The 27446-nt window shown below is 38.2% G+C and overlaps 1 protein-coding gene across 9 annotated transcripts in view; it reads left to right on the forward strand.

Annotated features, from left to right (window-relative positions):
• The first annotated feature begins 19927 nt into the window (after positions 1-19927).
• Positions 19928-27446, forward strand: part of NCAM2 (neural cell adhesion molecule 2) — a 544921-nt gene continuing 537402 nt past the window's right edge. For all 9 annotated transcript variants that reach the window (NM_001352592.2, NM_001352591.2, NM_004540.5 and 6 more), the window contains exon 1: positions 19928-20137. Coding sequence is in view for 8 of the 9 variants with exons in the window: in NM_001352591.2 (NP_001339520.1) it covers positions 20083-20137 (55 nt within the window). In the remaining variant the exon portion in view is untranslated. The remainder of the gene's footprint in view (positions 20138-27446) is intronic.

The raw sequence follows: 27446 nt of genomic DNA on the forward strand, positions 1-27446 counted from the left end.
TATTTCTCCCATTCTACAGAATGTCTTTTCATGATGTTGATGTTTTCATCAATGCCATGTTGTTCTTGTTACTATAGCTTTGTAGCATATTTTGAACTTAGCTACTATGATCCTTCCAGCTTTGTTCTTTTGTTAAGTACTGCCTTGGTTATTCAGGGTCTTTTGCAGTTGTATACAAATTTTAGCAGTTTTCCTATTTCTCTAAAGATTGTCACTGGTATTTTCCTTACTTTGTGCACTATGGTCATTTTAACAATATTAATTATTCCAATCCATGAGCATCAGATGTCTTTTAATTTATTTGTACCTTCTTCAATTTCTTTTATCAGTTTTTTTTTAGTTTTCGTGGTAGACACCTTTCACATTCTTAATTAAATTTATTCCTAAGTATTTTTGTAGCTATTACAAATGGATTTGCTTTTTTTTATTTTTTTTTTTTGAAATGGAGTCTTGTTCTGTCACCAAGGCTGGAGTGCTGCAGTGGCATGATCTTGGCTCACTGCAACCTCTGCCTCTGGGGTTCAAGTGATCCTTTTGCCTCAGCCTCCTGAGTAGCTGGGTTTACAGGCATGTGCCATGACATTCAGCTAATTTTTGTATTTTTAGTAGAGATGGGGGTTTCACCGTGTTGGCCAGGCTGGCCTTGAACTCATGACTTTAGGTAATCTGTCCGCCTTGGCCTCCCAAAGTGCTGAAATAACAGGCATGAGCCACCATGACAGGCCTTGATTTCTTTCCTGGCTAGCTTGTTATTAGTTTACAGAAAAGTATGTTAAATTTTATCAAATGCTTTTCTTCTGCAACTATGGAGATGATCATACAGTTTTTGTTCTCCATTCTATTGATGTGTTGTATACATTTATTGATTTGCATATGTTAAACCATGCATACATGCGTGTTACAAACCCCATTAGTCATGGTGTGTTCTCTTTTTGATGTTTTATTGGATTCTATTTGCCAGTAATTTTTTTTTTTTTGAAGATTTGTGCATCTGGCTCATCCCGGATGTTAGCCTATAATTTTCTTTTCTATGTGTATCCTTATCTGATTTTGGTATCAAGGTAATGCTGGATTTGCAGAAGAAATTAGAAATAAAAATTCCCTCTTCTTTAATTTTTTGGGGTAGTTTTAGAGGAAATCAAGTTAGTTCTGTCAATATTGATAGAATTCAGCAGGAAAGCCATGCCATGCTGCCAGGGTTTTCTTTGTTGAAAGAATTTTTATCACTGAGTCAGTCTCAGCACTCATATAATAACCTGTTCAAGTTTTCTATTCCTTTTTGGCTCAATCTTTATAAGTTATATGTGTCCAGGAAGTTTTCCATTTCCTCTAGGTTTTCCAATTGTTAGTGTATAGTTGTTCATAATAATCTCTAATAATTCTTTGTATTCCTGTGGTATCAGTTGTAATGTCTTCACTTTTTATTTTATTTACTTGGGTCTTCTTTCTTTTATCCTTAGTCTATATAATTGTTTGCCAATTTTGTTTATCTTTCCAAAAAACTTATTATGTTATTAATCTTTTTGTTATTTTTATATCTATTTCCTTTAATTCACCCTTAGCTTTATTCTTTCTTTCCTTCTGCTAACTTTGAGTTTGGTTTGTTCTTGCTTTTCTAGTTCATTGTGGTGCATCATTAGGTTGTTTATTTGAAATCTTTCTACTTTTTTGATATATTTATAATTATTAATTGCTTCTTCTGAATCCCATAGGCTTTTGTATGTCACCTTTCTATTTGCATTTGTTTTTAAGACATTTTAAAATTTTATTCCTAAATTCCGTATAGACTCGTTGGTTGTTCAGAGCATGTTGTTTAATTGCCATGTATTTGTACCATTCACAAAGTTCTTCTGGTTATTGATTTCTAGTTTTATTTCATTGTGGTCGGAGAATATACTTATATTATTTCCATGATTTAAAATTTTTTGAGACTTGTTTTGTAGCCTAACATATGGTCCATCCTAGAGAATATTCCATGTGATGAGAAATAAATGTATTCTGTAGCTGTTGGATGAGGTGTTCTGTGAATGTCTGTTAGGTCCATTTGGTCTAGAGTATAGTTTAACTGATGTTTCTTTGTTGATTTTCTATCTAAATGATCTGTCCAATGCTGAAAGTGGAGCAGTGAAGTTCCCAACTGTTATTATATGGTTTTCTATCTTTCTCTGTAGCTCTAATAATATTTGCTTTATATAATCTGGGTGCTCCAGTATTGGATGCATATATATTTACCATTGTTATATCCTCTAGCTGGATGGATTTCCTTATTATTACATAATAAACTTTACTGTGTCTATTTTTGTTTTCTGACTTCTACATATTTTTGGTTTATGTTTGCATGGATTATCTTTTTCCATCCCTTTACTTTTAGTCTATGTGTGTCTTTACAGATTTTTCTTGTAGGCAGCATATAGTTGGGTCTTTTTAAATTTATCTAGCAAATCCATGTGTTTTTATTGGAGAACTGATACTGTTTACATTCAAGATTGTTATCGATAGACAAGAACTTATTCCTATTATTTTGTTAATTGTTTTATATATCTTTTGTTCTATTATTCTTCTCTTATTGTTTACTTTTGTGGTTTGGTCGTTTTCTTTAGTGATAACATTTGATTCCTTTCTCTCTCATTTGTGCATCTGCTCTGCAAATGTATTTTATAATTTGTGTGTTTTCACCATGGCAGACATTGTTCTTTCACTTCAATATGAAGATTCCCTTAAGAATTTCTTATAGAGCTGTTCTAGTGGTGATAAATTTCCCTAGTTTTTGCTCATCTGGGAAAGAGTTTTTCCTCTTTCATTTCTGAAGGATAGTTTTGTGAGATATAATATTCTTGACTGGCAATTTTTTTTGAACTTTGAATACATCATCCTATTCTCTCCTGGATGATGAGGTTTCTGCTGAAAAGTATGCTATTAGTCTGATAGGAATTCCCTTATGTTTGACTTGATGCCTTTCTCTTGCTGTTTTTAGAATTCTCCCTTTCATTTTTACTTTTCAAAGCTTAAGTATGATGTGCCCCCTTTTTTTTTTAGACAGAGTCTCGCTCTGTCACCCAGGCTGGAGTGCTGGCACACTCTCAGCTCACTGCAAATACTGCCTTCTGGGTTCATGCTATTCTCACGCCTCAGCCTCCCAAGTAGCTGGGATTACAGGCATGTGCCCCAATGCCTAGCTAGTGTGTGTGTGTGTGTGTGTGTGTGTGTGTGTGCACATTTTTAGTAGAGACAGGGTTTTGCCATGTTGCCCAGGCTGGTCTCGAACTCCTGAGTTCAGGTGATCCTGCCTTGGCCTCCCAAAGTGCTAATATTACAGGTGTGAGCCACCACGCCCAGCCTGATGTGCCTTTAAAAAGGATCTTTTTGGGTGGAAAATATTCGATGAATTTTTAAGCTTTCTGTATCTGAAAAGTCTGCTTTTTTCTCCAATACTTGGGAAGATTTTTAGCTATTATTTCATTAAATAAGTTTGCTATGACTTTTTCAGTCCAATCTCTTGACTTTCTGAGACTCCTAAAATGTGCACTTAATGGTGTCTCACATGTCATATAAGGTTTCTGCATTCTTTTTCTCTCTCTTTTTATTTTATTTTATTTTATTTTGCCTGACTGGATTATTTCAAAAGATGTTTCTTCAAGTTCCCCAAATCTTTTTTTTCTGCTTGTTCTACTCTATGGTTGAACCCCCAGTTGTATTTTTTAGTTTTATTCATTAAGTTATTTAGTGCCGATATTTCAGTTGGTACTTTTATATGATTATATATATATATATATATATAGTTCTAACTCATGTGATGATCATTTTCCTAATTTCTTTGTATTGTCTACGTGTGTTTTCTTGTATTGCACTGCATATCCTTAAGATCATCACTTTGAATTCCTTTTCAGGCATTTTATAGCTGTTCCCTTCTTTGGAGTCTCTTAAAGGACAGTTACTGTGTTCCATTGGAGAAGTCACGTTTCTTTGATTTTTCATGTTTGTTGTGTCTCTGCATTGATATATGTGCATCTGGTGAAATTGCTGCTTACTTTAATGTTACGGAGTCACCTTCATAGGAAAAGACGTTTTCTGTAGATATATCTATAACATTAGTTTGGTAAGGTGCCTAACTTTGTTTTGGGTGGGCACAGTACTGTAGTATCTATATTATTTCTTCAGTTGTAATCACCGTCAGCAGTGTCTTCAAGTTTTTTAGTGGCTTAGGTTGTAGTTGTTTATGGAGCTTTGGGGCAGTTTTGCTGGTGATGGAGATGCGGGGTGGGTGGATCCTTGAGCCCCTGGGAGGCATGTGACATTTCTGTTGCTTGAGAGGGTGGGTCTAATGTCAGTGGCAGTGGTTTCAGTCAGGTGGCTCTGATTCTTGGGAATATGTGCTTTGTCCTGGGGGCAGCCTCCCTAATGCACTGGACCACCTGTTCCCTGGTGTGTAGGGCCATGCATCAACTCGGATGCCAGGGACTCAGCTGTATCAATAGGTCTAGCTGGTATACCAGTGCAGCAGAGGACCTCAGGAATATGGAGATGCAGGGGCTATTGGGCCAAGGCAGAGTGTAATCTCTGATGGCTCTGCTCTCAAAATGGTGCTATGCTGCAGCAGCCTGGGTCTTGGGGGTGGGGAAGACCTATATTGACTTTCCCCACAAATGATTGCAGGCATTTGTGGTAGAAATGTAGATGCTAGGGATCTCCAACTCACCTTTTCCTCTCAATGAGATGTTGCTCTTGGCTCCGAGCCTATCTTAGCTGGCTGCTTCACTTTCCTCTTCCTGCTGCCATTGTGAGTTTCTGTATCCCACAGGGTCTGTGCCACTTCTTTGCTGAGTTTTGTTGTTCTCCTTTACATTCTCTATTTTACCTGTGGTTATTCGGGTCCTTCTTTGTGAAGGAGGCAAGAGTTGGGTGCCTCTAGTCACCCATCTTGATGGCACAGAGCTTTCTGTTTATACCTGTGGCAGAAAAATGTTTTATTATTTTTGATTTGGGACAAGGTAGCAAAGTGAAAAAGGTCACCTCTCAATCTATGCATGACTTTAAGCATGTCACTTAGTATCTCTGCGCTTCAGCTTGAAGCCTCTGTGCTTGGATGTGTTCTGCTGAAAATTCTTGCATCTGTGGAATTCTATGATCCTAGGGCATGCTCTTTAGGTACTTTCATTGGTTACATAGTTTAAAAGGCCAGTATATAACACACGGATTGCCTAGAGGGCTGCATCTGCTTTGTGAACATCCATGCCAACTTTTTCAGAGAACATTCCAAAACAGTATGGCATGTGGTCCATGTTCTCTGCTCTTTGATCTGCACTTCATTCATTTCAGAATTCACCATTTTATTCTTATATGTTAGAAATAGAAAATGCACTCAGGGGATATATGGAATTTTCCTGCAGGACAGAATCACTCAAGTACAGCACGTTTTTTGTTAAGCTAGTATATTTTCAATAATTCCTAGAAATAATAAATGATTTCACTGCAGAACTGCATATTTTTCTATTACTAAACTGATTTCTGCAGATTGTTATTCAACCCTTAGTGAAATTCCAACTGTGTACTAGGTGCTGTCAGAACACAAAGTTAGTCACATATCCTACACAGTGAGCATAATATTCATCCAAATTTCACAGGTACATTCAACCGACACAACACTGACAGCCTTTACAAACACAGTGATCATTTCTCATCACAAATGAAGCCTGTAAGGTGATGGTATGTAGCAACATAGCTTATTATCAGTTTATTCTCTGTTTATTATCACACCAAATTTATTTATAACTGCTTTTAAAGAATATTATAACAAAGTACCAATAATATATTTGGGGATATTTTCAAAATTTTTTTAGAATTTGAATACAATACATAATATAGTTGGACACTGTAACGTAATTTCTGTTAGTGTCTCTTTAATTGCATTTGCAGTATTCACAGGGAAGTGTTCCGTTTGGATAATTACTCATTGGGTGAAGATCAGCAATTTGGCTCATGAGCACTTCAGAAAATGACTCAAAATTTTGTAAGAAGAGAATTTCCTACAAATACCCCAATCAAAAAAAAAAAATTCAGTTAAGTGCTTCTTTCATACGGTTTCCACCAGAATATGTTAAAGATTTCCTCCAACTATTTATTCTCCTTTAGGTTATTCATAAGAGTACCATTTTTAGTAAAGAGAGAGCCAACTTTTTTTTAATGTGCTCAATGTATTATGCCATACACTTTTAGAAATTATAAATGTTATGACTTAGGAGAAATTAAAAATATGTTAAATATATCCACAATGCATAATAAAGATACACTATCATTAATACTTATTTAACAGTATACCGGTTATTATTATTTATTTGTAAGTTGTTGACATTCTTCTTAATTGTTTATATCCAAAAATAATTTTTTCTAAAATTATTACTTATGCCAGTTAACCTAACATAATATGCACACATATTCCATTTTGTGCACAAAGCTATAAATGTTGCAATGAAAATATAACAAAATATGTAAGGGGGGTATTTACCTTTGCTCAGGGAACTTACAAGCATGCTTTCTCCCTTTGTGTGTGTGTGTGTGTGTAAATCATAATCAATGTCTCTAAACTTTATGACTGTCAGAGATAAGCAAACTAATATTGTGAACTTTTTAAATTTTAAGCTATCATCCTAGAATTTTTGTTGATGGTTTTTGTCATTTTGGCCTCTAAGTACATTGTAGTAGTCTGTTCTCATGCTGCTAACAAAGACATACCCGAGACTGGGGAATTTGTAAGGAAAAGAGGATTAATTGACTCAGTTTTGCATGGCTGGCGAGGTCTCAGGAAAATTACAATTATGGCGGAAGGGGAAGCAAACATGTCTTTCCTCATGTGGTGACAGGAGAGAGAATGAGAGCAGTGCGAGGGAGGAGCCCCTTATAAAACCATCAGATCTCGTGAGAACTCACTCACTATCTCTAGAACAGTATATGGGAAACTGCCCCCATGATTCAAGTATGTCCACCTGGTCCCACCCTTGACATATATGGATTATTGCAATTCAAGATGAGATTTTTGATAGCGGCACAGCCAAACCATATCATACATCAAAATTGTAATCTGTGGGAAAAATTTTAAATTTTTTCTACATTTTCCTTTTTAAAAACATCTTTGTTTTCCTAAGAACATTTAGGAAGTAGCTTATGTTTCCCTTATAGTTAAAAGAGATGTTTTAAACTGATTGAAAAAAAGGCCTTTGCACTCAGGGATGCCTGGGTCCGACTTACATCTCTCACACACAGTGGCTCTGTGATCTTATCAAATCTCCTCCACTAAATGGGAGTAACAATGTTACTCATAATATTGGGAGAAATACATTGGATGATGTGTTTAAAAGGCTTCAATTAGTACCCAACACATGTAACCTATTCAAATTGACAAAATTACCGAATGTGGATGTCAGTAAGTTCTTTCGATTTAGATATGACAAGTAGATTATGTTATACTATAAAACATTAATATATTTAATAGAGGCATTCCTTCTGTAATTATCTTTTACCTATGTCCTTTTTTCTCGTTTGTATTACAGCCATCATAGTAAGAGTTTAGTCACTTTAATTACAGGCAATTCAAATTTAAATTTTACTTTCAGTAGGTATCTATTAAGCACCCACAATGAATAAAGTGATTTTATATGTTACAAACAAAACCAAAACTAGGGTCTATTTAATAGAACTGATAGTACATTGCTTTCTGAATTACCTAATAGCAGAAAACATATCTCTTCTCTTTTCCCTTTTTGCATTATGCTTAGAGTTGGTTACAGGCCGGGCGCGGTGGCTCATGCCTGTAATCCCGGCACTTTGGGAGGCCGAGGCGGGTGGATCACGAGGTCAGCAGATCGAGACCATCCCGGCTAACACGGTGAAACCCCGTCTCTACTAAAAATATAAAAAATTAGCCGGTGGTGGCGGCGGGCGCCTGTAGTCCCAGATACTCGGGAGGCTGAGGCAGGAGAATGGCGTGAACCCGGGAGGCGGAGCTTGCAGTGAGCCGAGATCGCGCCACTGCACTCCAGCCTGGGCGACAGAGAGAGACTCCGTCTCAGAAAAAAAAAAAAAAAAAAAAAAAGTTGGTTACAGCCAATTATCTATTATTTATTGAGCATCTATTTGTTGACCAGGCGCCTTTAGAAAAAATTAAACTAGTTCTTAGGGATTTTTAGCCAATAAATTGTCAAAGCTTGTGATGATTTGGCTCAGTTCTACACTTTTAAATAAGATTTTGGCATTTGTAGCTATAGTCACTCTAGTAATTAGAGATGAAAGCTGAATTAAGAAGATAAGAATCTATTAATATATAATAATGGCATCAGGGTTACCAATAAATAAAACTGTTCTTTTAAATTATTAGCATAGAATTTAACTTCTAAAAAATGTCTTAACAGGCAATATTCTCACACTTCATTTAGGACATAAATTATAGAATTATGTTATGCAGTGATTGGGAAATTAATCTAACATTTTTTCATTTTTAAGCATTCTGTAGCAGAAAAATCATTACCCTGAATACAAGTTATAGTTTTTCTATTGAAGCTCTATGAAATTGAGCAGGTCATTTAATCTTTCTCTGTGTTAATTTTTTTCCTTTGTAAATTTAGAGTCAAACTTATATGTTATATCTAAAATCTCTCATACTGTACCTATGACTAATTGACAATAGGGTACTAATGATGATGATACAGAAAACAAAATTTTAAGTACTACTTTTATTTGATTCTTAGTGAAAGAAAACTTGTGCATAAGATAATTATAAAAATATTATGACTTTTAATTTTAAGGTAAAAAAATATTACCAATCTAAATAATGTATTCAAGTAAATGGGGTAAAGATGGAAACATTGGATTGGACAATATTTTGGCCTTTGTAATACTGGATAAACCTAATTTTACCATACTTAGGAGTTACTGTGATACTTTTTGTTAAAGACATCACCTGTAATTTGAAGAAGATGTACTTAAAGGTCAAATTTTCTGAGCATTGATTTTTCTTTCTTGTGTGAGCAATGAATTTTGAAGTTACATTTTATGACCACTCTTTAATATTGCCATTTGCTAATTTTAAGGTGCGTTAGGTATAATTATTCTTTTAATAAGGGCAGCAGTAAAAAGTGTATTTGAGTAGCAGGCTTCACTGAAGTTGCCATATTCCTAGTTTATCCCTACAATATTTTCCATCTCTGCTCTGCAACCAGTATTAACACCATTTTCTCAGTACCATAAGATTTTCAAATACAACTGCTCTATTTCAAGGTAAGTTAAAAAACAGACCCTCAAGTGTTTTAAAATAATGTTGCTTTAGCTCTGATAAATCAAATAACTATATGATAAATTGAATAACACAAATAACTCTGTGATAAATCATATAACTCTGATTAATTTCAGAATGACCCTAGCCCTTCATTACAAGTTCTCTAACATAAAGTTAGGAGCACTGCTATGTTCACACTTCTAGGGTGCTGGTTGAAGGCAATTCATTAGTGGTACAATAGAAATAGCTATGAGAACAATGAAGGGAATCAGCCCTAAACTAGCATGAGGTCTAGAGAGGGGTAAGTTAGCATGGTGGCAGGTGTGAGTCCTTGTCAAATATAAGAATACATGACTTGAAGTGGTAAGAAAGGGATAAGGCCAAAATCAAAGATGGGAAAGAGAGTATAAAACTTGACCTGTAAACATGACATCCTGCAAGGAGGTGAGTAACCAAGACACAAAGCCATTAATGGAGTAGAGAAACCAAGAAAGACAATGAGGTTTGGCTCATGCCTGTAATCCCAGCACTTTGGGATGCTGAGGCGGGAGGGTCACCTGAGGTCAGGAGTTCAGGACCAACCTGGCCAACATGATGAAACCCCGTTTCTACTAAAAAATACAACAATTAGCCAGGTGTGGTGGCAGGCATCTGTAATCCATAGCTACTCAGGAGGCTGAGATAGAAGAATTGCTTGAACCTGGGAGGCAGAAGTTGCAGTGAGCTGAGATCACACCACTACACTCTAGTCTGGGCAACAAGAGTGAAACTCCATCTCAAAAACAAAAAAAGAGAGAAGAAAGAAAGAAAGAGAAAGAGAGAGAGGGAAGGAGGGAGGGAGGGAAGAAGGAAGGAAGGAAGGAAGGAAGGAAAGAAAGAAAGAAAGAAAGAAAGAAAGAAAGAAAGAAAGAAAGAAAGAAAGAAAGAAAGAAAGAGGGAAAGAAAGAAAGAAATGAGGTTTTAGGTGAGTCTGGAGAAATTCCACAGAGAGAGCGTAGGTTCCCATGGATGCTTTCTTTCTGGTTTCCCAGTGCTATGGTTTGAATATTTGTGTCCCACCAAAAGTTGTATGTTAAAACTGTATGACCAAAGTGATAATATTCGGAGGTGGGGCCTTTAGGACACAATGATGTTATGAGAGCAGATCCCTAATGAATGGGATATTGCTCTTATAAAGAAGCCCCAGACAGTAGTCCTGTCCCTTCCACCGAGTGAGGACACACCGAGTGAGTGTACAATTACCAAGATAAGCCTTTCTGGAAAATATGTTTGTCTTTATTTTTAGAAATAAGGTAAGACTTTAGTAGTTTTAAATCTACAGTTCATTCTCAGGACTTTCCTATCACTGTTTCAAAACCATGCTATTGACAAGTATTTGTTTATAAGATTGAGAGGCACTATTAGGTAAGTAGAACTGAGCAGACTAGTCTTCTCATAAATTGTTTAGGTTTATAACTAACTCAGACATTTTATATGAATAATATAGGTATAGGCCCACAAACAGAGGTACTCTAACCCAGGCATTTTTCCCTTTGCGTGCTCCCAGATGATGTAATTTGAGAAAACAAACTATCAAAAATTAAATTTCCACATTATTATTGTCTTTCTTTAGGTCATGAGAGGTCACATCATAACCTGTATAGGATCAACTTTTGCTCTTAAAAGAGATTGTATTATTCAAAATGTTTCTGAGAAGGCTGGGCACAGTGTCTTATGCCTGTAATCTTAGCACTTTGGGAAGCCGAGGGAGGTGGATCACTTGAGGTCCAGAGTTGGAGACTCCAGCCTGTCCAGTATGGTGAAACCGGTCCCTACTAATTCAAAAATTAGCTGGGTGTGGTGGCACGCACCTGTAGTCCCAAATACTTGGAAGGCTGAGGAGGAGAATTGCTTGAAGCCGGGAGGCGGAGGTTGCAGTGAGCCAAAATCATGCCACTGCACTCTGGACTGGATTACAGAGCAAGACTCTGTCAGAAATATATATATATATTCATAATATATATAGATATATTATGAATATATATATTTCTTATATATAAGAAATATATATTTTAATCTATATATATTTCTGGGAAGAATATGGGGTGAGACAGGTTTTGGTTTTGGAGAAACAAACAAATTGTTCATTTTCTAGAGATTCAGGGAGTTGTTCTTATACTCAGCCTAAGAAAAGACAGTTTAGAGTAGAGTTCTTGAATCTGCCATTTTGGACTGGATAATTAACTGCTGTGGAGGTCGCCTGTGTGCATGAGATGTTTAGCCACATAGCAACATCCCTGGCCTCTTCCCGCTGGATGCGAGGAGCACCTTCCTCCCAGTCATGGCAATACAAAAAGTCTCTAAATATTGTCACATGTTCAAGGGGTGTGAAACCCAATCTTGAAGCTCTGAGTTAGAGAAACTCTTCTTTGGGAGGTAATTGGTGCCTAAAAAGTTCATGGGTCCAAGAAATGAATCCATGAAGGGACTCTGTACAGGGAATCAAAGAAGTAGCCAGTAGTCTCCAAGACAACTGGTAGGTATTCCTTACTCAATATTGGGTTTCCCTCTAATAAGTTATTGTGTCTCTATTACTCTCAATCTTTCCGTAAGCTGTAATAAATGTCTTTGCGGCCGGGCGCGTTGGCTCACGCCTCTAATCCTAGCACTTTGGGAGGCTGAGACGGGCGTAACATGAGGTCAGGGGATCGAGACCATCCTGGCTAACACGGTGAAACCCCGTCTCTACTAAAAATACAAAAAAAATTAGCCGGGTGTGGTGGAGGGCGCCTGAAGTCCCAGCTACTCGGAAGGCTGAGGCAGGAGAATCACTTGAACCAGGGAGGCGGAGGCTGCAGTGAGCCGAGATCATGCCACTGCACTGTAGCCTGGGTGACAGAGTGAAACTCTGTCTCAAATAATAATAATAATAATAAATAAATAAATAAATATGTCTTTGCTTGAGCCCTGAGGCGTTAAGGCAGGCAGATATGTTCAGGCTTCAAGTGAGGTGATACAGAAGGAAGGTACAGCCTGGGAAAGCCTATTATATAAGATGGCCAAAAATAACTGCCAGAGATTAGGGCAAAGATGGGGCTGGAATGAGAAACACCTTCCTGATCTTGTGTGTGAAACATGCCAACATTCTTCAGGCATCTTCAGAGATCCCTATTAGCAAATAGATGGGGATACTTAGACTTTATCTGTGTGATGTAGTACAGAAAGTTGATGCTGGTGAGCTAGAATAATTGAGAACTTTTGGTTACCCCAAATTATCGAGTTGTGCAGAATTTTCTCCTAAAAAGTACAGTGGGACTTCCTGGATCCTAGAGCAGAAGAATAAGATTCTTAAAATATAACATGTTAAGGTGGAGATGTCTTTCAGTGGACCTTAAATTTGATAAATATGAATATGAAAATTTATCTACAGCCAGGCAATTGAAGATGATTAAAGGTAGATATTACAGAATGGAAACTCTAGATTAACCAACAAAATATAAAATAAAATATAGTAAGCTGTCAATGTTGATAGAAATGAAGTGCTTTCACATCTTCCAGATGACAGTGTAAATTATGTAGTTTGGAAAACAATTTAGGCGATATGAGTTCAGTAGCTACATATGGTCATATGTTTTTGCAAAACTATTGATTTTCTAGTAGTCTAAGAATGTAATCTATAATAACCTCAAAGCTCTATGGATAGAGATATTCACACTGTGGTGTTATTCATCATAATAATTAAAATTACGGATAAAATCGTAACGTCTTAGTCTAAGAAAATTGTTAAGAATATTAGGTTCAGTCCATGTCAACAAATTAATTCATTAAATTTATGTTTGTGAAAATAAAGAGGCAAGGCGCGATGGTTCATGCCTGTAATCCCAGCACTTTGGGAGGCCGAGGCGGGAGGATCACCTGAGGTCAGGAGTTAGAGACCAGCCTAACATGGAGAAACCCCATCTTTACTAAAAATTACAAAATTAGTTGGGCGTGGTGGCTCATGCCTGTAATCCTAGTTACTCGGGAAGCTAAGGCAGGAGAATCGCTTGAACTCAGGAGGCGGAAGTTGCAATGAGCTCAGATTGCGCACCGTTGCACTCCAGCCTGGACAACAAGAGCAAAACTCCGCCTCAAAAAAAATTAATAAAAATATAAAATTTATTCCCTTTACAAAACAAAATACAAAGATGCCAAATAGCATTTTCTCATTATGTTAAGAAAATGTACACTTATATGAAAGACTAGAAGAAAATATGCCAAAATGTTCAAGAGATAGCCTCTGGTTGATAGGGCATGGGCATTCCTAATTTTTTTTTATAACTAGCATGCCAGAATTTGAGAAGATTAAACATTAATTTATAAATAAACAAGCACAGCTCTTTAGTTTTATTTTTCTATTTTTTTTTTTTTTACATAGCTCAGCTATTTCTTTTAAAGTCAACTTCTTTCATAGGTGTTGAGTTTCTTAACTTTAGAAAGGTTGTGAAACCCAGTAGCAGGTGTTGGGTACATAATTATTTAAATATGAGGACCAATCATTAAGAATGTTGGTGGGGAAATGTGTTGTTTTCTTAAAAACGAGTTAAGATTATTTCACGTAGACATAAAGTATAAGAGTTTTTCCCATAACATTAAAATTTAAAAAGTGTATCCAAACAATGTGCCTTGGTGGATTATTAGGTAGAATATTAACGGTTTGTGGTTATATAGGAAAGAATCTTATTGCTACTACTAGCTTGCCTATTACTAATAGAACTTCTTATCTAAGTTGAAAATTAATGCAAGCACATCTCCATTAAGGAAAGAACCAAATGATCCTGTGCAATAAGAGATTTTTGAATGAAATGCCTAATTTTATTGCCCTGCCAAAATGCAATGATTAATATTGTGTCCTATCAAATCTATACTTGTATTGGATCAGTTGCCAGGGATGAAGGATTTATTGTTACCTGGTATGTGATAACTCCCCTCCACATGGAAGGATTTGTGCAGACGCCACCTTGGTCAATGTTACCTATGGACAAAAATGTGATTCCTGAGTGCTGTGATCAATAATTGGGCAACCTAAATATCGCATCATGATCCTTGTCATATCACATAGGTTCATTGCTATCCATTGCTTGATTCCTTTTTCCTATCTTACTTTGTCCTGAATATATTCTTGAAATTGTATCAATCACTGTTTTGTCAACATGTTCTAGGCTTGTTAAGTTTTCTGCTCTGTCCATCATTGTGTTTCCCAGGGATGTCTTGGTGAAGAAAAGTGTAATATCCCCTTAGAGTTAAGAAAATATTATTCTGGGAAGTGGCAAATTATAGGCAGTTATTGCATAATTTCTGAGCGAAGTGAGCAGTTATTTGCCCAGAGGGACCATGAAGTAGCCATGAAAGAAAATGACCCCATGTATCTTGGAAGAAATTAAAAAGTAAGAATCTGTGACAATGAGGGTGCCTCAGTACCATAAATCTGTCTCCTCCATTTCTTAATTTCAAATAGAACAGCTAAGAAAGTAAAACATATTAAAAGCAAGGTGTTAAAATCTAAAAGCTATCGTTAAAGTAGCTGCAGTTACATGCCTGGTAAAGGGTCTAAAATGTTGTGTCAAGAAGTTTAAAATTATTTTCAAAGACACGATCATTAGAAAAAAGTGGCATTAATGGAGAGGGGAAGGCAGTAGCAGGATCATCTATTTATAGAAGTTTTAGGCTATCTGTCTATATAAGATAGCCTAAATAAGAAAAGTCAAAACAGGCAATTTTCTAGACAAGTAAATGAATAGTTATAATGGCTTGTGCTATCTTAAAAATATAAATGATCACACGGAATGTCCTATTTCTTAATAGTATGATATTAACACACATGAATTCCATCAACAGAGAGATTAAACAAACATAACATCAGAAGTACACAAATAAAAATAATGTTTAATATCCACAGCTCATCATTCATGCCTAGGCTCTATGTGTACATGATATACCTGCATGATTTTTGCAGGAGCAGATTGCAAAAGTAAGAAACAGAATCTCTCTGAGAAGATAATTTCCACATACAATGCGCCTTACCATTTTCTGTCTCTCTGCTACTCCTTTATGTTCATTTTATTGATTCTTTTAAATCAAATTTATCTGCTTTCAGTTAACCATGCATCCAGTCCTGTTGGTATTTCCTACTACTCAGCTTTTCATAGATTCCTGAGTTTTGTTCAACTGGCTCTTATTTTTATAAATGAAATAACTATCACCCCAACTATGCCTCTGACACATTTCCTCGGAGAGATGAAGAAGTGGATAAATTGTCTTACTTGTAAATTATGAGCTACATAGAGGAGGGAGGATGCGTTTCTATACCTTTTATATCCTACACTGCACATGGCTTACTCATGTTCATAGATTTGGTACATTCAATAAAAGTATTCAATGTCTACATAATAGAAAGCACTCCTTTCCAACAGTGGAGGGGAATAGTGAGAAGAGGCAATTTTTCTACATGGTGTCCTCATATGGTCAATCTATTAAGAAGAAGAACTGGCTAAGGCAAATGTCAGGCTGCATATTACTTTGTCACTGCAATGAGAAATAAATGTGCGTCTGATAGAGCCCTGGAGAGGCACTTCTACTTTTGGCTAAGAAGCAGTTGAGGCAAGTTTTTTTGAGTATATGACATTCTGCTATTGAGTCCTTATGGCAATATAAATTTAGGCTAAAGATGGGGAGAACCCTTGAAAGCCTCAGAATTGTCTTAGTTCATTTTGTGCTGCTATAACAGAACACTACAGACTGGGTAATTTATAAACAATACAAGTGTATTCGGCTCACAGTTCTGGAGCCTGGGAAGCCCAGGCTGGTGAAGGCCTTCTTAGCTGCCTCATTACATAGTGGAATGAATCACATAAACGACAGAGTATGTTCAAGAGAGTGAGAGATGGAACTCACAACCATACGCCCTTTTATAATCGGCATGAATCCATTCATGAGGGTGTAGCCCTCTAGACCTAAATACCTCCCATGAGGCCGCACTCCCAACATTGTTGAACTGGGATTTCAGTTTCCAACACATGCTTTTTGATAGACACATTGAAACTGTAATCCTCATGTGGGCCTATGATTCACCGTCAGACGTGTAGCCCCCGGGATGGAGAGAGTCATCCTAACTTTTTCTGACTATGCATGCCACGACTTACATTGTGAGAGGCTGTGAATATCAGGTTTGTTAGCATAACTCTCTCCCACCTTGTATTTTTCACTCTGTACTTTTTTCAAATTAGACTTCTCTCTGCTTTCCACACATGCTGTGTGGTTTCACGCCCCCAGGCTTTACTTAAGTTTTTCTCTGCCCTGCCCACGTCCCTACCTATCTAATTTCTCCGCTTTCTTCAAAGCTTCATGAATCCTTTCTTAATCCTCTATTCAGAAATGATCCCCTCCTCTTATGTCACAATAGCAGGGCATTTTCACTCTTCTTATGGCATTTTTTAAAAACCTGATGTAGATGATTGAATTGTGTGCTTATGCCTGATATCTTCAACAAGTGGCTATTAACGAATTGAGGGGCAGGATCCATAGCTGTATCACCTTTCTTTGTATATTCCTGAGTACCAAGGGTTTGTCCATTTATCTTTTCCATACACAGAGATGCTCTCTCTCTCTCTCTTATCTTCCCTCTGTCTCTCTCTCTCTCTCTCTCTGTCTCTCTCTCACACACACAGAAGTTTGGACACAGTATAGTCTTATGATACAAACTTCTAATCAGAAATTTCATTTGTGTCTGATAGACTATTGCTACCATCTCCCTAACCTCACTCTAAGAACATTTAATGTCTAAATTACCTTACAGGATACCAGTCAAATTTTCCTCTGGCATGGTTTAACCCATTGCCTAAGAAAAAAGTAATTTGACTTTTTTTTTTTTTTTTTTGAGACAGAGTCTTGCTCTGTCACTCAAGCTGAAGTGCAGTGGCACAATTTCAGCTCACTGCAGCCTCCACCTCCTGGGTTCAAGCGATTCTTCTGCCTCAGTCTCCTGAGTAGCTGGGACTAGAGGTGTGCCACCACCCCTGGCTAATTTTTGTATTATTAGTAGAGACGGGGTTTCACCATATTGGCCAGGCTGGTCTTGAACTCCTGACCTTGTGATCCGCCCACCTCAGCCTCCCAAAGTGCTGGGATTACAGGTATGAGCCACGCCCAGCCTGAAAGTAATTTGACTTCTAATAACACAGAGGAGAATTCAGTTGTCAATATTTCCACCTGATTAACAGATGTGCATGTATGTGTGTGTGATAGGCACTTGGCCACTCCCAGTGTCAGGTTGAAAAATTGCAGGCTGTGTGAAGATGCTATTTGACACACAGAGTATACTTTTAACTGTCTTCTGTGATTTTGTGTGTGTGTGTGTGTGTGTGTGTGTGTGTGTGTGTGTGTGCTGAAGTCATTCTTTGGTATCCACAGGGGGGACTAGTTTCAATACTCTCACAGATCCTTGGATGCTCAAGTCCCTTATATAAAATAGCATAAATTTGCATATAACCTCCTGCATATTACATCATCTCTGGATTAGGTGTAATACATTATATAATGCAAATGCTTTGTAAATAGTCACTTTGCTGTATTTTTTTATTTACGTTATTTTGATTGTATCATTGTTTCATTTTTTTTAAAGTTATTTTTCATCCATGGTTGGTAGAATCTGAGGATGTAGAACTGTGGACGCAGAAGGCCTACTGTGTAGCATTTATCAATGCCCAAGAGAAATGAAGAATTGGAGTAAATAAATGAGTCACGGTCTTTCACATCTATAAATGTGCTACTTCCACCCTTTCCTGCAAAGAGCTGACCATGAGTTTACTTAAGTGTGGTTAGTGCATTCCAGAACCAGTAAAGGGTGTGAGAAGGGTACCGTGGCAAAATAACTTTCTAAATATATTGTCTGCTATAAGATCAAGAGGAAATAAGAGGTTCTCTAGCTGTGAGGTGCTGAGAGGGCCATTGCTTAAGGCAGTTCAGCGATGGTGAGTTGAGGGCCGCCTTTCCCCTCCTCTCTTCCTGATAACCCCATCCCAGGATGCCAAGTGGACGAATCATCTGTATAAAGCGCTCTGCCTGGGGAGGACAAATCGCAGACGGTATCTCCCCTATGCATGTTAGCCTGTGTCTACTCTTGCCCCCTGCCCTCCCTGAAGGCAATGCACTGCCCTTTTCAGCGTGAAATCCCCAGGCTGGGGCTGGATTCTGAGCTCTACATTTCTACCTCCCCCCTCTCCAACCCCCGCTATTTCTATGTCCTCACTGATAAGGAAGGAGCTAGGGTCCTTGTGGAGGCCGGGGCGAGGCAGTTGAGTTTTCTAAGGAGCCAGAGAGAAAGTGCAGATGAAAGGACCCATCGTCAGCGTTTGCAGGTCGCGGTAACCCCAGGCCAGATTGACATGGGCTCCGCACCCGGGCCGGTGATTCTGCCTCTTAACCGCTCTTGCAGGAGAGGTGACGTTAATCTCACAAACGTTTTCCTACCCTTCTAGGAGAAATAACGATAAGCCCCAATCTTAAGGAGCAGAGAGTTAGTTCCGGGCGTTTGCCACGGCTCCCTCACTTCAATTTACACTCGCACACGCGGGTACGTGGGTGTTCGGGGTAGGGCACTGATCTGGGGAAGGTCTCCCCCCCGCGACCCAACTCATCTTTGCACATTTGCAGTCCTCCCTCGGTGCACTCCTGGCGGGGATCTGGCCAGTGCAGCGCACTGGGACCGAGGGCAGAGCCCGCGGAGTGAGGCCAGGAGAGACTTCAGGCCTCTAAGGACACAGCTGAGGCTAAGGCTGAGTTGAACGCAGCCCCTCCCGCGGCTCGTCCCCTCTCCAGTGTCTCTCCCGTAAGGTGCCGCTCCCAACAGCAATGGGTCGAGATGTAGAGGAAACACTCTGTACGTTATTTTTCCGCCCACCCTTTAGCGCCTGAGGAGACAGACAGTGTAGACTTTAGGGTACAATTGCTTCCCCTCTGTCGCGGCGGGGTGGGGAGCGTGGGAAGGGGACAGCCGCGCAAGGGGCCAGCCTGCTCCAGGTTTGAGCGAGAGAGGGAGAAGGAGGTCCACGGAGAGACAAGAATCTCCCTCCTCCCACGCCCAAAAGGAATAAGCTGCGGGGCACACCGCCCGCCTCCAGATCCCCCATTCACGTTGAGCCGGGGCGCGCTCGGGGCGGTCGCCTGCAGTATCAGTATCAGCATCAGCATCAGCATCAGCATCTGCATGAGCATCAGCTCAGCTCAGCTCAGCTCAGCATCAGCTCAGCTGTCCTGAGGCAGCCGGCGGCTGTGAAGGAGCTCCAGGCTGCCCCCATCCCCACGCCCTTCTCGGCTCAGGGCGTGCATGAACCTGCGGATGGCCGGCGGGCGAGTGGCGCCTTCGCGATCGCGGCCGCCCCTCTAGGCGGAGGCACCGGGGACCGAACCCGTGACTTCGAGCTCCACTGCGGACGAATCCCGGGACCGCGCGCCTCGCGGAAGAGCGGCCGCCGTGCAGCGCGGAGGGATACGCCTCGGCCGCACCTCCCCTCGCCGCGCCCCCGCCCCCGCCGCCCTCCCCGCCCGGCTCTGCTGCCGCCGCGGCGGCCGCTGCTGCTGCTGCTTCTGCCGCCGCTGCCGCCGCCGCTGCCTGGATATAGTGCGGCAAGAGCGGAGCTTGCAGTCACTTTGCGAGGAGGAGCGCGCGGGCTGCGGGCGGCTGGGGCACCGCGGGAGCGGCGGCGGCGGCTCTAGCAGAGGCGGCCGGGGCAGCGAAAGGTTCTCTCTCCAGGGCTGGACTTAATAACTTTGAAACTGTCCACCGGTGTCACGTCCTGAACATGAGCCTCCTCCTCTCCTTCTACCTGCTGGGGTTGCTTGTCAGTAGCGGGCAAGGTAGGAGTGTGGCGCTTTATTGCATTTACTTTCCCTCCCCCTTCCACCCGGCCAAGAGAGGCAAAGAGGGAGGCGCAGGAAGAATGAAATGAAAGAACTAAAGTTACAGTTATTGCTGTTGTTGTTATTATTATTTTCGTTCTTTCTCCTAGCTGTCCCTAAAATTGTATCTGTTGTGTGGAGACCCTTAAATAAGAGAAGGGAAAATACAGAATTGGAGAGGGGAATCGGTGAGCAGGATATCCAGGGAAACCGCTTCTTCTTCTTCTTTTTTTTTCCTCTGGGATTATGGCTTTCTCTTATTTTTATTATCAGAAATTGGATGAGTGTGTTAACAGTGAAATATCTGAGGTTGCGGAAGGAAAGGGCACGATGGTGTTTTACAGAAGCAGCAAAAACTATCAGTGTTAAACTCATTTGCAAAATATCTGCTGTGTGCAAGACGTTCGATTCTTGGAGACTCTTTTTTTTTTCCACCCCTTTCCCAAAACCCTAATTCCTGACTATGAAGTGAATGATGATGGCTTATTTCTGTTGGAAACTAAGAGAGGGGCCGTGGATATTGTGTGTAAGAAAGCAAATGGATAAAACTAGGGATGTGTTGCAGTCATTCATTTTGACCCCAACCCCTTATTAATACAGAAAGGTGGAATCATTTTATAACATTACATTGTAATTACACCTGTAGAGGATTTTTGGGGTTGTGGGAGAACTGGTGGAAGCTTTTATCTCTTAAAAAAAAAAAATGAATAGCCTGGTAGAATAACCTGAGAGGGAATTTGTGGAAGCTATCACTGTTTGTCTCTAGAGAGATAGATATGAATTTATCTGGCTGTTTAGATAGTAAACACTCACATGAAATATATTTACAATAAATGGAAGCATTTTCAACTGTCCAGACAAGTTTGGACGTTTAATTAGGGACACAAAATGCTAAAACATGCATTGGTGAAAGTCTTTAAAGGAAAAATAAAATAGCACTAATTTTGAGATATGTAATGATTGCAAAGAATGTTATGTTGTTAGTGTAGTGTGAAATTGGTTTTTTAAAATAATATAATAAATTACAAGACAAGTTAAAATATCCCCAAGATATTCAGTTCTAAGCATTTTTAGCCTCTTCTGTATTGCTCGTTTGGTCCAGCAGGGGGTGGTAGAACTCCATTTTAAGCCCAGAAGTTGGTTTCTGCTCTTCCACAGAGTCCTTCTATCATTCTTCAGCAGGGCTTGACATTTTGGATGTGAAGCCTTCCTTTTTCTGCCCTTCTCCTCCCCACAGCTATAGTGTTAGTGGCGGATGAAACACGATTGGATGCAGATTTAATGTTCAGAAATCAGTATGCAAATGTTGGATATTCCTATAGTTTGTAAAGTGTCTTGATAAGATTCTGCTCATTTTCCCTTCCTAACATAGAGTATGAAATATTTCAGTCTTAGCAAAATTGCAGATATGTCCATCTGAAGCTAATACTAGCCCAATTCGTTAATTCAGTGGTTCTTAAGCAAAGATCAGCATGCACATATGTCCTACAGATATGCTTCTTTAATTTTCAGATAGCTGCTGATTGTGTTTAACTGTTCATTTATAGCATAGACAGGTATTTTTGAGCACCAAGAAACAATCCCTGAAAATTGCAGTTAAAATACAACTGCAATTAAATAAGTGTAGGTAGTGTGGGGCAGAATGGGAGCATAATAGGAAACAAGTTTATGCAGACTTAGGATTACATTGTGAGTGGTTTGGAGAAGAAAAATGTCTCAGTTGTGGAATCTGAATTTATCATTGTAGAGGCTAAGTGTGTTGGAATTTGGAGACATAGGAAATTAGAAATGTTTAGATATATAGGTTTAAATAGTACACAGAGACATAAAATTTGGATGTGTACATGTAACATAGATGTGAAATTGTGATTCAGCTAATTTGTAAGTCAGGATACGAGGTGGTTATGAAGAGGCACTCTGAGACAAGCATCTCTGAAGGGGAGCCCATATTCACTGTAATGAAACAGGGTAGAAGGAGACCATCATTGTAAAGATCTCTCTATCTAGTACAATTTCACAATGTGTGGCACTCATAGAGACACAGATATATATCAGAGAGACGTAGCTTTTGTGAAAGGGAACATATAGTACTTCTATGCCATGTGTCCTGATGAAGTCAGAGATGCTTGGATATAGATATCCTCATCCTGGAGTCCAATTCCTCTATGCTAGTGTTTTGTTCTCTAATTAAGGATGCAGCAGCAAGTATCAGACACACCACCGGGAGCTGTTTAAAAAAACAGACCTAGTGTAACTCATGATTTTGTTTATTCTCTTGTAAAGAGGGCCATGGAAAAGCCACCAGTCAGTGATCCCTGGTCTTGCCTTAGAAATACTAAAATCTCAGCTTGCTGATTTATGTGTCCAACAGTATACTTGCAGGGGATTTTATGAAGCATGATTGAAGCTATTGCTTTGGAAAGTGGTGTGCAGTTAGACTGAGGAAAGGCAACAATGATGTATTCCCTTTTTAGGAGTCAAAACGTTTTGAACTGAAGCAGTTGAATAGGAGAAAATGACATTAAGTGAGAAACTGACTAACTTAAGTGAATGCCAATACTATAATTAGCTAACAAGGCCTAATAGTTTACTTGTAACTCTCAATACAACCTTATTGTTGTACAGTAGTAAGACGCTTTTTTTTATTGTAGCAGAAATACTCCTTTAAAAGCCTCTAATTTCCACTGCAAGATTAATGTATAATGAAGTAAGGTTAGAATGTTATTGTGAAGTCTGAATTTAATTGTCAATGAAAGAAAATGCTGTAATTCTGTAACTTTTGCAATTATTTTTCCTTTGTGTTCAAAACTTGGTCACAGGCTTTGTAATCATAAATCTCAAGTGATAACTTCAGTTTCTGATTAACTGCATTTGCTGTTTGGATCTTTGTATATTCAAATTTCCAAACTGTTGTATGTATGGATTGCTTTCGTGAGAGTTTTTACATTTTTGAAACCACTTCCTTCTTCCTTTAAAAATTAAACAAGTATGATTAATAAGCATTTTTCCTGGATGTTCACATATGTAAGATAGAAGCACTGTTATACTAAAACCTAAAGTAAGAATAATGCTATTCATCTCTCTTGCAATGCAGTTCAAACGTACCACTTAGAACACTTACCTAAGCCAAAATCGTGAGGAAAGGAGGGGTGAATTGCCCAGTTGATCAGTTAAAGCAGTCATCTGCTTACAGTTATTCTCTTTGGTGAAGTGCTAGTAAGTCATTGTACATTACAGCAATGTACCTTCTAAAAATAGAGCACAGGTGTGTGAGTGTCTACTAGTTTGAAGATTACAGGAGAGAGCTCCACAAACTCATCTTCTGTCGGGGCTGTTACATGGCTCCAGCCTCTCTCGTATGCTTTTTCTATCTGCTGTGCTCTAATTCTTTGATATCAGCCTCTCTGTGCAAAGTTTCTATTAAATCGACTGGGTCTTCTTTTGCACTTGGGGAAGATGTAATGTAAAGGCTAATGTAAATTAATATCTTTATTGTCAGAGTAACCCAGAGGATTTCCCTCACTACTTCATATCAAAGGAGTTAGGCAGAGTATTTTCTCACTTTTAATGCAGAATCGGAGCCCATAGAGCAAGAAGGGAAGTTGGTGGGTCCCGAGAGTGTCAGATGAGTCTTTTCAATGACACAGGGAGCTAATTTTCTCCCCGAGGTACTGTCCTACTAGAGAAGCAATTAATGGAACAAAAGAACCTCATTCAGTACCAAAAGTTAGACTTCATATGATTTTGTAAATAGAATGGCCTTCTTTCAAAAATAGGACTAGTTTGCAATGAAACTGAGAAATGAGCTACAGAGATTGAGGCTAGTAACCAAGCTGAACAGTGTAATTTGTTTTTGCCTGTCCTCGTGTGGAAGCAGTGCAAATAGTAACAGGATCGACAATCTGAAGACTCTGGAACTGGTCCTCCTGCATTCTCTGTCTTTTAACATTTGGGAAATCATTGTAACTTATCTCTTTTCAGGGTCATCTCTCACAGCAATGAATTTTTGAGAGCATGAAGAAAAGTGCTCAATAACTATAGAGTGATTCTAAATTGCCCTATTTCCCCCCAAAATGAAATTAATCCCTTGAGTGTTGATATGTGCAAAATTAATTTAATAATTTGAATATACTTCTGAAGGGACTATCATTGTTTTTCAAATTTTGTTGTCCTAAATTTTAAATTTATTGTTCCCTTTATACAATCCCAATTAAACTGAGGATAGGCCTATTTAAAAGATTATAAATTTGTTTTAATTTTCCAAATTACATGATATGAGAACACTTTAAGATGCAACCAGTGCTTTTATGCTTTTATTAAATGTAAAATTCCTGCACTTTATAGAGCCAAGCTATCTCTAATTGTTCAACAAATAAAAGTGCTTCTCTCTGGTGCTCTTTTAAATATTTTAATAACTTTTAACAATTTACAGTTATAATAAGAGTACTAATCACAAATAGATATCAACATATTTCCTAGTTTTCTATGTTCACTTGTGCCACTAAGGATCCATCAAACATTACCAGACATTTTAGAAAGCTGTGAAGTAATGAAACATCTTGAATTTAAATCAAGATGTTTGAATTTAAATCATTAAGAAAGATAATGGGGAATTTTGAGAATATTTATAAGCATGGCAATCAAAACATTATAGTTTGAAGAATTTCAGGTCCATTGATCAAATCTTTCTTGGCTCCATTTGATTTATTACAACTCACAGGGATGAAGAAAATTCATTGGATTTGGAGTCAGAAGACCTAGGCTACTAAGAGTCTCTTAACCTTGAAGAAGCAACTTATGCTCTTAGAACCACTATTTGCTTATTTGAAAATTTGATATTATAAAATCTGGCCAGTTGACCTTGATGCTCGGCCATGAGGAGCAATTGTAACAATAAATATGTGTAGGCAGGCACCTTACCAAATGTCAACCCTACTATGCTAGGCTTTGTTTATATTTTTTAATAATGTGTATACAGATTAATTTGTGGCTTATAAACATTTATTTAGTTTTAAAAAATCATCATAAGCTGCTCTGTGATTAGAAAAAAATATCAAGGGGACAGAGATTACTTAAGTTATTGATAAGGGCGACTCATTCATCATTTATTCATTTATCTAACATTTACAGAATACCTGCCCTGTCCCAGACACCTCATTAGACAGCATTACTAGGAATGGTTGCGTAGATTGTGTGAAGAACAACTCCAGGGGGCGTCACTTATTGTCCTAGTGATGCAACACATATTTATTTTTACAATTTGCCAGCAGATGGCAGTAAAAGGTTTTGAGGAATGATGCGCTTTTTTTTGTATCATGAATCCTTTCTATGGACCAACATCAGGCTGGTGTTAAACACCAAGAGGCTTAGGATGGGCACATAATGAAGATAAATGACTTACTAAAGATCAAACAGAAAAGTAAAAAGGTTAGTTACTAGAGCTCCAGTCTCCAAACTCTTCAGTTCTCCTAACACCAAACTTGTTCATAGATTTTATTTAAATGAATCTAATATATCTTCAGCTCAAAGTAAAATATATTTAAATTCTGTGCCATTTTGTCAGATAATCAAATAACAAGCACTTTTTGAGGCCTTAAAATGAGAATATTATCAGCACCTTCTAACAGTACCGACCACTTGTGCGAAGTGCTTTCAGTCACCTTATAACTTATGATTACCAATGAGTCAAGAGACAATTAGCTTTGTTTTATGGATGAAGAAATTGAGGTACAGAAGAATGATCCGATTTGCCTATATCACTTATTTTTGTAGTTATCTGGAACTGGGAGTAGATTTTCCAACTTCCAGTTGCATACCTATTTTTGATATATTGTTGATTCATTTGTTTAAAAATTTGCATGTGTGTGGAAAATTCAATGTTGATAATTACAAAAACAAATAATATAAATTTAAAAAGCCAAATAAGCATGAGGGAGATATATAACTTGTTCAACAAAATATTATAAAATGACAAAATATGTCATATAATTAATTAAACACTAAGTAGTCTGAGTCCTTAGCGGTTTAGTGCCTAGAATGAGCTAAAATTGATTGTGTTTACTAACTGACAGGCTCTCTTATCATAATCCTCTATTAGCTTGTTATTATTACGATTATCGTTCCTTTATCCATGAGGGCCATGAGATACAGGGAGTTTAAATAACTAAGATTGTACTGCTTGGAAATGAGGGTTTGCATATGGGACATGTCCAAAGCCTAGCCTCTTACCAGGACATCACCTTGCCATTCAGTGAAACAGAAAGGGCTTCAATATAGTGAGAGTAAATGGAGAAGATTATTAATACAAGGAGAAAAAAAATGAGTGAACAAATTGTAAGAAGGGAGGGGCGCGTTGAGAGAATAGAAATAATCCAGTTTAATGAATCCAAGGATTCACTAAGCAGTTTGGAAAGGTGAGCCTCTGCACTCAGTTCTGGAAATAGTGGTGGAAGTGGAAGATAGAGTGACCTGGAGGCCAAGCTGGTTTGACTCTAGTGTAAATCTTTTGGAGCCATTGTTTGGGCAGGAGAGTAACATGGTTAAATTTTGGTTTGTTTTTAAGTCTGCTGGCCATGGCCATGTGTAGGATGGACCAGAAGGAAAGCAAAAGAAGTGGACGTGGCACATGTGTCTATGGAAGACTTAATAGGATCTTAGTAACAAATACAAATTGAGAAATTGGTAGGAACGTGCCGCATGAAGTTTTACGTTTATTTAACAGAAAAAAAAGGTTATATCTTAATAGAAATAGGAAAAATAAATGAAAAAGTGCACCCATTTTCAGTAATTTTTAACTTGTTATTTTTAAAATTATATATCAAGTTGCTGTATTCATGGCACATCTAGATAAAAATGTCAATAAATTTGAAAATGGAAACTGTTGATCTTTTTATTGGCCAATTCTTCAGAATAATTTCTTCACTTTTATTTGTCATCTGTCTTTATCTTGTTCTTCCATCCCCATTTATACTTTAAATGTTGTGTAGTATACTTCTGGAATTTTGGGTAAAATCTCAGAAGTATGTAGGTAAAATTTGTTTTCATTATATATTCTTCATTTAAGTCAGCTTCTCTGCTTTATTTATAGTTTCTTTTTCTTTTTAACACTGGCACACCAAAACAAAATAAAATCCAGGAGAACGCCCCCCCCAAAAAAAAAACCCTAAAAACTGACATGAAAAAAGATTTTTGGTATTGAATATATAAAATTTTAACATTTTTCTATTAGTGTCCAAGGGAGGAAAAAAAGAACTAATATTTTTGAGCA

The sequence above is a fragment of the Homo sapiens genome, chromosome 21 (genome assembly GCF_000001405.40).
Source record: "Homo sapiens chromosome 21, GRCh38.p14 Primary Assembly".
Taxonomy (NCBI): Eukaryota; Metazoa; Chordata; class Mammalia; order Primates; family Hominidae; genus Homo; species Homo sapiens.